A 12,565-nucleotide genomic window follows, 5' to 3' on the forward strand; every position below is an offset into this window, starting at 1 on the left:
TGGCTGGAAAAAACAGTAAATGCTTTGGGCAGTCTTGAGTTTTCTCAGGCAGGCACTTTAAGCAGGGCTAGGGTCATCCCTAGGGTCATTAACGGATATGGCCTTCAGCTGTTAGAAATGATACTAGAATGTGTTCAAGTCTTTATTGGCCAAGGTTGAAGCCTAGTTCAGAAGAGAGCTCAAAGGAGCCTGGCTGAAGTTTGGTCAAGGAGAGAATCTTTGTCAAACACCATAAAGAATTTCGTCATTGTTTGCTCAGATCCAGTCTCGTAGACACCACTAAAATTGATGTCATGTGTATCACCAGCATTTCCATGATCATTTTATTGCTTTGGATGTACAGGAATTCTTAATCTGGAATTAAGTACTTTAAAAGGTGTATTACCTAAAATTGATGTAATATCAAATGTGTATGTGTACATGTAGATTTTTCTGGGAAGAGAGTTCATTACTTTCATCAAATTTGCAAAAGAATCTCTGACACTAAAAATGATTCTTTTGGGCTGGGAGTAGTGCCTCACACCTGTAATCCTAGTACTTTGGGAGGCCAAGGCAGGAGGATAACTGGAGGCCAGGAGTTCAAGACCAGCCTGGGCAAGAGTGAGGACCTGTCTCTATAAAAAATTTAATAAAAAGTATTTTAAAAATATTATTTATTGTCTTGGTCCAGTATCCACAGATAATATTTCTAAGAATCCAGCTTCACTACAAACAATTTGAGAGAATTTATTTCTATACAAGAAGCATTTATTGAAAACCTAACATGGTCATTGCATTGCACTAGCCCTTGTAGGGTCAATGTGGAATCTTGAGATAGATCTGAAGAAACCATAACATTAAAAAAAAAATTAAATAGAGGTGGGGTTCCACTATGTTGCCCAGGCTAGTCTCACACTCCCAGGTTCAAGTGATCCTCCGACCTTGGCCTTCCAAAGTGCTAGGATTACCAGTGTGAGCCACTGCGCTTGGCTGGTAGCATTTTTTTTTTTTTTAAATGAGGGAATGGGTGTGGGGTGGGTAAGGCTAGTTGACAGGAATAGCATCAGGATGGACAGTTGCCATGAACAGCTAATAGTTCTATTAGGAACTATATAATATTTGTGCAGAAATCTTATTAAACATCGATGGCTAGTTACGTAAGGGAATTTTAAAAATATTGTGCCAGCCTGTAAGTAGTAAGCAATTATTGACTTGAAATGTTTTATTGCATGGAAAGCATTACTAACATAGAGTATTTTCCATTTTCTAGTCAAGTTTTTCCTCATTATTTCTCTTGGGCTAATATTGTTTGGACACAATGAACACATTAACAGTACCCACCCTTGAATGCTCTTTAGAAAAACACAAAGTATTTATTGATTCTTTATGGGTTTTTATACCTAATTAAAGCTGGTTAGAATCAACAACCTTAACAACAATGTGTTGTATTCTCCCTGCTGCTAAAAAACAGCAGGAAAACATTTTTTAAGCAACAGAGTCATGCTGCAAGTTAGAAGTAAATGAGCACTTTCCAACAATAAGATCTGCGAAATTACTGCATTTATATCCTTTCCTTAATCCCTATTATGAAGATCATACAATGAAGAATATCTCTGTATAATGAAGGCTGTTGCTAACTCAAACACGATACCACAAAGCAGGATGCCATCTGTTAGAATAATGTTGGAACCTCTAATTTTACAATTGTTGGGAGCCCATCATTACTTTTCTATTTATTTAAAATATATATTCAAAAACTTAATGCTTCAAGCTTCATAATAAGGCTTTGGTGATAAGTTCTATAAAAACATGTCACTATACTTTTCTCTGTGCTTGTCAGGCAATGTCTTTTACAAAGGAACAAAGGAAACCTCTAATATTGAATCCAAGACATTCATAACTCAAAGAAAACAGATTGACAAAAACAGTCTATCAATTTTATTTATTGTGAGTTCTGGTACATGGAGTGGATGTTTGGACTCCATTATAGGAGTGGTGGATGTTGTAGCATTCTGGTCTTGATTCTTCAAGCTGTGTGAGCACTCTCACCCTGGGTCATTCTCAGGCAACTTGTTTCCCTAAAGGCACAGCAGACAGGCAGGAGCTCAGTTATTTCAGAGAATCTGGGAAAATGAAGAACATCAGTTGAGATCCAGGGGGCTTATCATACTGCTGAGTATAGCTGCTGGCTAGCAGAAGCCATAGGAAGCTGATTTGTCAGCTATCTGAAGGAAGACTTTCATTGTTTTTGTTTTTTGAGAAGCCGTGTCACCATGTTGCCCAGGCTGGAGTGCAGTGGCGCAATCATGGCTCACTGTAGCCTTGACCTCCCCAGGCTCAGGTGATCCTCCCACCTCAGTTTCTGTATTTTTAGTAGAGACAGGATTTCGCCATGTTGCCCAGGCTGGTCTCAAACTCCTGGGCTCAAGTGATCCATCTGCCTCGGCCTCCCAAAGTGCTAGGATTACAGGCATAAGCCACTGTGTCCGGCCTGAAGGGAGACTTTGGAGAAGCTCAGTTCTGCTTGGCCATTTGGCTTAAATATATTTTAGCTATGAACAGAGGTCGAGGTCAGAGACAGAAGAAGGAGCAAACGTCCATTCCTGGGCAAACAACCTCAGAGATATGCTATGATCACGCAGCTCTTGAGGGGAGCAGGATTGAGATTAGAACTCAGGCTCCCTGGACTTTCAGTCCAATATTTTTGCCCTTTGGTGTTATGGTGCCTAATTGCAGACGCCATTCTATGTTTTCATTTCTGAGCAGATCTCCACCACTTCAGAGTTTCTTGCCTTTTTCTAAAGAGTTCCAATGACAGGGTTCTCCACGGAACCCATGCTTCCACCAGTTTGACCATTCGATTTTAATACCAACTCTCTCTTCCGCTTCTCCTCCAAATTTGTTTATAAGTCCTCTTCCACTTTTCTTTCCTCACATTTCCTTCCCATATTCACAAGAAACAGGTAACATAAGATGGAAGAAGAGCTCAATGTACCATTTTTTATTTATTTCTTCTCTTTTTCAAGTTCTAGGGATAAAGACTTCAGAGGAAATCATGCAAACTTACAGACTCTTTCCCTCTTGGCTACAACGATGACTACCTATAGCTCACTGCCTGGTCCTCAGGCTTTGCCTGTCTGTTTTGGTGTCCTCATCTCTGAGACAGAGATAATACTGTACCTCTAAGCAGAGGGGCAGATAATTTAACTGATGATTGTTAGGTATTTCCTTTCTTGGCCAGTCAGCTGCAGTCCCTCTCTATTTCAAGGGCAAGTTACAGCTTAAAGAGAACAACAGCATCACCTGACAACACTTAGAAGAAATGTATTCTGTACAGAAAGTGCATTTCCTTATACTCTGAGGCTTTCTTCTCACAAAGGCTGTTTATCTATCACAGCTCAGAAGGTTGTGCAGTTGAATTTCCTAATGTGACAGCTGGGTGTTCCAATATACAGATGTCCCGGGAGCCAGGGTGGTGGCAGAATGAGGGGAGCTGGTCCAGAGGTAATGTAGGGACCACCAGTAAATACCCTTCCCGGGTGCTTGGGTGGCTTGGATGCCGTGTAGTCTATCACTCTCCCAGGCAGAGCTGCCTCCAAGTCGGGAATATTGTCAACAATTCTGAACTGCACATTTGGAGGTGGTGAAATATTACAGTAAACATGTGATTTTTATTTTTCTAATATTCCTTGCTTCCCTGCTGCTGTCTATGTCTTCTCTTCCACACTCAGCCACATCGGTTCCTGTTGCTCATTTGGCATTCCTGGCTTCATAAATATAAATTTTATGGTTTACTTCCTTGACTCTATCTTAAATGCTTCCCACTCTGTCAGTTTCCCATGCATTTTTGAGCTACAGCCAGTTTTCTTTAACAAGCTGTACGTTCCTTCACAGTCTGTTAAAAACCGCTATTTCTTTACTGCTGTCCTATAGACTCTTATCAATATTTTAAATCTTGTGATCACCAAGTTGCCTAAGAATAGCATCTGCAGTTAAATTAACAGGGATAAAATTACAAGATCTATCAATCTTTATGCTTCACAATGTAAGGAGGTCATTAACTGAGGTCAGGAGAAACTTTTCCCTGACAGCGAGCTCCTTCAGAATTAGTGCGTTATGAGAACATTTACAAATTAGTCTCATTATATTTAGGAGCATCTGGTATGAACCTCTTGTCACAATCATGATTCTGGGAAGGCAATTAATAGGTTCTTGTGAGTTCTCAGTAACCTCCAGCCTAATTTAAAAAAGAAATTTGGATGAATTTCAGCTATTTTATCCAAAAAGACTTTTTCCCCACTCTCTATGGTTGTTAATCCAGCAGCCAAGAAGTCCATCATGAATTGTGGGTCTTGCTGTAATTGTATAAGTAGTGTCAGTTAACACAAGATGATAATGCCATTACTTGACTTTTCGTCACATATATCCTACACTTTCCAACTTACTATTGGTCACAGAGTCACAAAACACCAGAGCTGGAAGAGACAACAGGGGTCACCTTCTCCAGCATTTTCCAAAGCCCATTCTGCGGAACACCACTTCTGTGTCATGCTGTGAGGTGTGACTTTGCGGGGCAAAGATGTGTGGTCATATCATGGGGTTCAGCTAATTTAAACCACGTGACTTTTCTTTACCACATGACTTTTCAAAAACCATAGGATGTCAATGCCCTCTGAGTGTCTCCAAGAGAAGGAGACAGTATGCAGACTTCTTTATAGGTATTTAAACACAGAATTCTTTTGTCAATTTCTGTGCTTTGTAGCAGGTACTTTTGTAAATGCTGATCCAGTTGCACCCTTTCATTTTGCAGCTGAAGACTCAGCAGAGAAGCAGAGGCTCAGGTAACACACCAATATATGGCAGAGGCAGCCTTGGGAGCCTTGTTCCCCAATTTCTGGCCCAAGGTTCTCACTGCTTTACTCTGTGCATGCAGAGAGGATCTATAGAGGCCTCTCGTAGTGGGGTGACTCATGTCAGCGACTTATGTTTACGTGGCTTCTTCCTGCAGCTTGGCTTCTTCCGGGTCTAGTGGGGAGCCACAATGGGCTGGCCGCTGGCATTCCCAATCCATGTTGGAGGAATCAACTGAGCTATGCTTACAATTAGAAGTCTTCTCATTTTGTCCACAACTGAGAAGGTATCTGGTGTATAAGGTTTTCAATGCTAAACCAGTAGAATCTAGGGCAAACTAGGACTAGTTGGTCACCCCCACTAGGCTGCTCACCCAGTATCTTGAGGGGTCACTATGCTGAATAACTTCATATTGCTTCCTCACCCCCTAGATCCTCTCTTCACCTTTTTCTACCCTGTTCTGTTTCCCAAAAAGGGATCCCTTACCCTTTGGATTCCAGATGAGCTGGATCATGGGTGGTATTATTAGGAAGAGGTGAGGGTATTTATTCTCCTGCTTCCCCCTTGCCACTGCCGCCAGAAGCTGTCGCATCCCTCTTCTGAGGGCCACAACTCCTTGTAGATGGTCATCTTCATGCAGCTACTCCCCACAGCTAATTACCCTGGATTCTGGTTCTGGTAACCACAGGTTCCTCTTGTCTTTTCATTTCTAGGGGTGGTAATAGCTTTCCATTATTGCTGGACCTGTAATGCTGCAATATCTCTTCTTTTGTTTCCTTAGATTCTGCCCACAATTTTATAAACAATTCCTTTATTAACTTCTCCTCACATTACCCAGTCTGAGAGTCCCATCTGTTTCCTGTCAGACCCCTGGCTGAGACAGTCACTGGTTGATCAATGTCGCGTTCGGATTAAACTAGCTTTTGCCCCGGCAAAATGATGGCATAGCTTTGGAGGATGCTGTGAGAGCAAACAGAGCTTGCACTTGAGGACACTTTTCCTCTTCATGCTGGATGGGAAGCCAGGTAAAAGGAACCTCTGATCTTAGACAAGGCCTACATTGCCAATAATTAGGGGCAGTAATTTCTGCCCAACATAAGTCTTTGGACTAGCTCCTATTCCATTTGGAAGCACAGATAAGATAATTATGTGATAATTCTTTCAAAAGTAAGACTTCTTAGTCTTACCTTCATTCCAAGGTTGAGGGGAATAGCTGAGGACCTAATTGTCTGTACACTACCAAACTTTTAGGTGGGCTTTATATAAAAATTAGAATTGGAGGCAGAAACATATATCTGCAGGCATCACAAGAAGACAGGGGCTGCAAGACTGGCTCCCTTCCAGCCCAGCCTTGTTACTTCTAGGTTTGAATTTACCAGTTCCATGGCGCAGGTCCAGGCAGCATTTGGCATTTGATGCAGGGTACTGTAACATGACTATTGCCGTTTGCAGAAAGATGGTTATCTACAAAATCTTGAGATTGGACCCAGCTTCATGGAATATGCTGGAGTCATGTTTTCTAAATGACCCTGATCCAGAACCTCATTTCCTGAACCAAAATCTGAACACAGCTTCAGTTTAGCATGATAGTTGCCTCAAGTAGGTGATCTCTCCAGACTATGTAGAGAGTTCTTTAATACTCGTTCATTCATTCAATATAAGTGGACTCCTATTATGAGCCAGGTACTGCACTCAGTGCTGGGGATGATGCTGTGAGCAAGGCAGGCAATGTACCTGTGTAAAGAATATTCTGTGGTGGCTCACACCTGTAATCCCAGCACTTTGGGAAGCCAAGGTGGGAGGATTGCTTGAGCCCAGGAATTTGAGACCAGCCTAGGCAGCATAGTGAGACCCAGTCTCTACAAAATTTTTTAAAAAAAAAATTAGCCAGGAGTGGTGGTGTGCATTTGCAGTCTCAGCTACTCAGGTGGCTGAGGTGGGAGGATTGCTTGAGCCAGGGAAGTCGAGGCTGCAGTGAGCCATGATCACGCCACTGCACACCAGCCTGGATAACAGAGCAAGACCCTGTCTCAAGAAAACAAAATTTTAAAAAAAAGAATATTCTTGTGCAGGAGTCTGAGAGAAACAAACAAGCTGACTAAGGTAAAAAATAATTACAAATTATGCTGTATTTTATGTGAAAGGTACAAGTAAGGGACAGAGACAGAGAATGACAGGGAAGAGATGCTTAACTTTAAATAGGGTAAAAGGAATGCCTCCTAAGGAGGCAGCATTTAGGCTCTGAGCGAAAAGATGAGAAGATACCAGCAGGGAAGGGTTCTGCAGGCAAAGAGACCGTGTACAAAGTCACCAGGTTGGCGAAAGCCTCTAAGGGATCAAAGGACTGGAAAACAAGAGGGTATCTGGAGTATGAGCAGCAAATATCTGGGTTTGAATCATGGTTCTGGCATTCAGTCTGTGATCTTGGGCAAGTCCCTTAACTTCTCAGGGCTTGATTTCCTCTTCTGTATAATGGGGATAAGAATAGTATCAACTATTCTTGACATTAACTAAATTTATTAAGTTAATATTTGCAGAATCCTTAAGACTTTTTATATAGTAAATACTCTCATTACATAGCCAGTGCTGTTAATATGAGATTGCAAAGAGAGAGACATAGAGATACACAAGCCCAGACTGTGTATAGGACTTCAGAGAAATCAGTCACAAATAAGGTATTAAAAAAGATAAAATATAGTAGAACATCTTTTTTCAAGGCACATCACAAACTAACGCCTGATGATGGAATGTGTAGTGCACAAATTACTGGATTTATTTTTAAAGACAAATGATGTCTTTTTTGTGGTCTTTTGAATTCATCAGATGTTTACATAGGCAAATAGGGCCCTCTTTGACCCCCTTATTCATCCCCCGCAATAATTCACTCTGACATATACAGAACATTTTTTCTCAAGGACATTTGAAAGTTCAGAACTATGGGGTACTATTGATTATTTTAGTCAGTGTACCATGCCTGTCATTTTATCCTGCTTTTGTACCTCATCAGAATTTAAACCTATTTTTAGTTCCACATGGGCATAATTGTATATGATCTAAAAAAATCATGGTGAGAATAACATCGGACAAAATCTAAAATGCTCCCTATAGCTTGTATGGCAATAGCATTCATTGCAAGCATTTCGTATAGGTTCTTTAGGAATGCCACTTGTTAGTATATTTTATTTTCTAATTTTTCCCATATTTTGAAGGAAAAAAAGCACACATCGTTTTCATATATGTCTCTACTTACAAAACTGAAATACAAGGTGGTGAGGGAGGCGGAAAGATAGAGAAAATGTCCTCAAGCCATATGTTCAAAAATCTGCTCTAGAGAGAAGAGGAACCAGAATAAATATTTTGGTGAAAATTAGAAATGTGGTTGCACACCAGAAGTTTTCCAAAGCCCTTCAGTTTTCTTGGTACGCTTTCTGCACACAGTTCTAAAAAAGTTATTCTTCCCACTGCAAAATTACCTCTTTGGAATAGATTTTAGAATTGGTATATATTCAGGCAGACTGCCCGTTCCTAATTCAGAACTTGGGATGAATAGTTTAGAATATTGAATATGACACTCTTTCCAGTCTTGGCCAAGAGAAATCATACGCTAAGGGCCTTGACCAGAAAAGCCAATTGGAATAAATAGAGTTGAAACAATGCCTTTTACTGCCTTTCATTTTGAAAGTGCACACTTAACAATAGATGTTAGAGATATTCTGTGTTTTTGGGACTCGGCAACTGCGAATCTCGGTGGGCTTTAGAAGAGTAGAGAGGGAAGGGAATGTAAGATTAAATAACATGTTGGATATTGAGCTTTGACAAGCTTCTTAACCTTTATACACAGACAACCATGATGCAAGGTGGTAGTTGATTGGGTAGAACAGAATGACTATCAATAGTATTCTTTGATGTTTTCTAATCTTCTTACCCTGATCTTTACTTGCTCATTCTACCTTGCTGTTGTTTTGCTGCTGTTTACAGTGTTCTATCAGGTGGGAGATAAACCAGTGGCCATCAGATGCAGAAAAATGTATTTTAAAAACCTTAACCTAGGTTTGCCTCACATTCTTGAACTCAGAGAAGAGGGAGTAATATAAAGTTCACAGCTATTGAATAATTCTTAAGTTAAAATATTTTTAATGTCCTGTAAGTGATTATAATGACCAAGTGAGTAAAACTGTAGGGTCTTACAAAGTATTTTATTTTACGGTGACCAACCATCCCGGTTTGCTTGGAACTGAGGAGTTTCCTGGGACATGGGGCTTTCAGTGCTGAAACCAGGATAACTGGGATAGTTAGTCACCCAAATAACACCATGTATCATAGGCCTTTTCCTTCTTCCTTCCCCCTCCTGGTGTTCCTCCCTCCCCAAAGCTGCCATTTCCCTTAGTTCCATGTCTGTTAGGATGGTGGCATTCTTGGCAGATGCTGTATCCCTTCCCTTCAGGCATCCAGAGCTCTCTGCCTTTTAGGTCAGTGGAATTTGAGAATAAGTACACTTAACACTTCTCACAGCAAGCTCACATTCCTTGTAGCATTTGATTTTCATAACAATTCAGAGAAGCAGCAAAGGCAGGTATAAGCCCCAGTTGATACCTGCTAGGTAGGTATCAGGAAAACAGGAGCTCAGAGAGGTTGCTGGTTACTTCCCTGGATGACAGAGCTCGATTTGACTCTCCATCTCCTCACACTAAGGGCAGTGGTCCTTTCAGTTCACAGTGCTGAGGCTTCCAAATTTTTGTGACATGGACAGCTGGAGAATAGTCTTAGGATAAGAGTCTGAGCTATTCCTGGGGCTGGTAAATTGGATAGTGGAAAAGAACATTAGCTTGGAAGTCATGGGATTTGGGGTGTGCTCCTGAGCTGTGAGCGGAGTGTTACTGGACAAGTCATCATCTGTCTGGGCCTCATTTCCTTCACAGACAAATGCTGAAGTTGGAGTAGATGAACCTAAGATCCCTTCTTGTTCTAAATTCCATCCTATCTTCTCTTTGCTGTCCATGCCCTCTTTTGGATGTCCTTGCAAATCATTTTAAGGTACTTTATCTGGACATAAAGATGAAGAATGGCAGAAAACTCTTAGCTGGCTAGCAGGAGGACTGGAAAGGTTAATGGTCTAAGTCAGGCCCATTGAGCACCTCCTAAGTATTCCAGAACTCCACCTTTTAAGGAATAACTCTGATAGGAGGCTTTAGCTAAATGATCTCTCAATGATACGACTCATCTTGGGGCCAGTTGTGTGGAGGCATTAGAGGGAAAGATAAATGAAAAAAGTGGACACACAAACTAGAAAAGCAATTGCCTTCAGAAGAAATGATAGTTCCATGTCTTTGATGTCAAAGTTGCAAACTGGAAATTCAGGCTAGATATTCTACTTAAAATATAAGGTCCAAATTCTAAGCAAACTGGAGTTTGTGTATGCTCCTCAGAGCTAAACAGATATCCACTGAGAAGCAAATGGGCCTTCCAGCACACTCCCTGCAATCTCTGTCACTCCATGAGAAAAGGCTATCTTAAGGACATACTTGTGCATAACAGGATGCTGTACTAGATTTTTGGAGTCCTTTGTAAGTTTGGGATCCTAGATCTGTGCACTAGAGCTAAGATGATGCTTAAGGGTTTTCCAAAAGAGTTTGCAGAATTCCAGAAGAAGAAATTGGAAAAATTGCCTTCTCGCTTCCATTCTGACACATCAGTAAATAAGGCAAGGAGGTAACTTGGGGAAGGAGATACTAAAGCTCCCTTGAACCTCATATACAGCCTTAAGGACAACCTACTTGCTTCCAAAAAGCAGCCTTGGAAGTATGTTCATACTTAGAATTGAGCAGCATTTATTTATTGAGGGGTTGCCATGGGCTTCTGGGCTGGGAACTTTATCCAGATCCTCTAATTTAACCCTCGCAACTACTCTACGGGCAGGTACTTTCGTGGCCTTTTTACAGCTGAAGAAACAGAGACTTACATTGTCAAGGTTATGTAGTTTGAGATCATACAGGCTGTAAGTGGTGGTGCTGAGATGACTCAAACCCAGGTTTCTTTGTTTTTCGGATCTGCACCGATCAGCTGTCTCTCTAAGGCCATCTTCAACCACAAATGACAAAGCTTGCTATGGCATCTAACAAGCGTAATGGATAAGATTCACATTCAATAATTAAAAAGAGAGGAAGGAGAAAAGGGACTAAGAGTTTCTTCGTTTCTGCAAATGAACAGTGTTGTAATAATTGTATGACCTGAGGGCAAATATGCGTCCCCAATTTGTCAAGTATTTGATGGTGGTGATTGTATTTTTCCAAACCCACTTCTCCTTCTTCTGTGAGCCACTGAGCAATAAACAACAGGCCAGGAAAAGAATGGCAAAGATATCACCCATTTGCTGGGAGATCTTTTTTATGTACTCTGTATACTTTGGGTGAAGATAAAAGAGGGCAGCCAGAAGGAAAGAGCCCTGGATCCAAGGGGTGACGATGGGGGCTTCAATCCCCACTTCTCTTCCATGTTGGACATCCTTGGACAGGTCCCTAAGTGGCTCTGAGCTTTAATTTCTTCATCTGTATAATGGTCACCACAATTTTATATATAGAAAGAGTCATGAAGAGGTAATACATATGAGAGTTTCTAAAACAATTCTTACTTCCCCATAAATACCTTATGGAGTCTAAATAATTCTTCTGATAAAGGTTGTGTTACAAATGTAAACATTTAATGGCCCAGTAAAAACAAACATCCTAAGTCTGCTTCCACAACCACCTCAAGGCTTCTGGGCTTACTTTTCTTGCCTCCCGGGGCATTCTTTTCCCAGATCTCTGTAGAGCTGCCATGACTTATCATTCAGGTCTCAGCTTAAATGTCACCTGGCGAAAGATCTATCCTGACTGTTCTATCTAAAGAAAAGTATTCTGGCACTATTTAATATTTTGTAATCTTCATAGCACTGCTATCTAAAATTAATTATTTACTTGCTCGTTTTTTTATTTTTTTATTTTTTTATTTTTTATTTTTTTATTATACTTTAAGTTTTAGGGTACATGTGCTTGTGCAGGTTAGTTACATATGTATACATGTGCCATGCTGGTGCGCTGCACCCACTAACTCGTCATCTAGCATTAGGTATATCTCCCGATGCTATCCCGCCCCCTCCCCCCACCCCACAACAGTCCTCAGAGTGTGATATTCCCCTTCCTGTGTCCATGTGATCTCATTGTTCAATTCCCACCTATGAGTGAGAATATGCGGTGTTTGGTTTTTTGTTCTTGCTATAGTTTACTGAGAATGATGATTTCCAATTTCATCCATGTCCCTACAAAGGACATGAACTCATCATTTTTTATGGCTGCATAGTATTCCATGGTGTATATGTGCCACATTTTCTTAATCCAGTCTATCATAGATGGACATTTGGGTTGGTTCCAAGTCTTTGCTATTGTAAATAATGCCACAATAAACATACGTGTGCAGGTGTCTTTATAGCAGCATGATTTATAGTCCTTTGGGTATATATCCAGTAATGGGATGGCTGGGTCCAATGGTATTTCCAGTTCTAGATCCCTGAGGAATCCCCACACTGACTTCCACAATGGTTGAACTAGTTTACAGTCCCACCAACAGTGTAAAAGTGTTCCTATTTCTCCACATCCTCTCCAGCACCTGTTGTTTCCTGACTTTTTAATGATTGCCATTCTAACTGGTGTGAGATGGTATCTCATTGTGGTTTTGATTTGCATTTCTCTGATGGCCAGTG

This window comes from Homo sapiens, chromosome 10, assembly GCF_000001405.40.
Source record: "Homo sapiens chromosome 10, GRCh38.p14 Primary Assembly".
Taxonomy (NCBI): domain Eukaryota; kingdom Metazoa; phylum Chordata; class Mammalia; order Primates; family Hominidae; genus Homo; species Homo sapiens.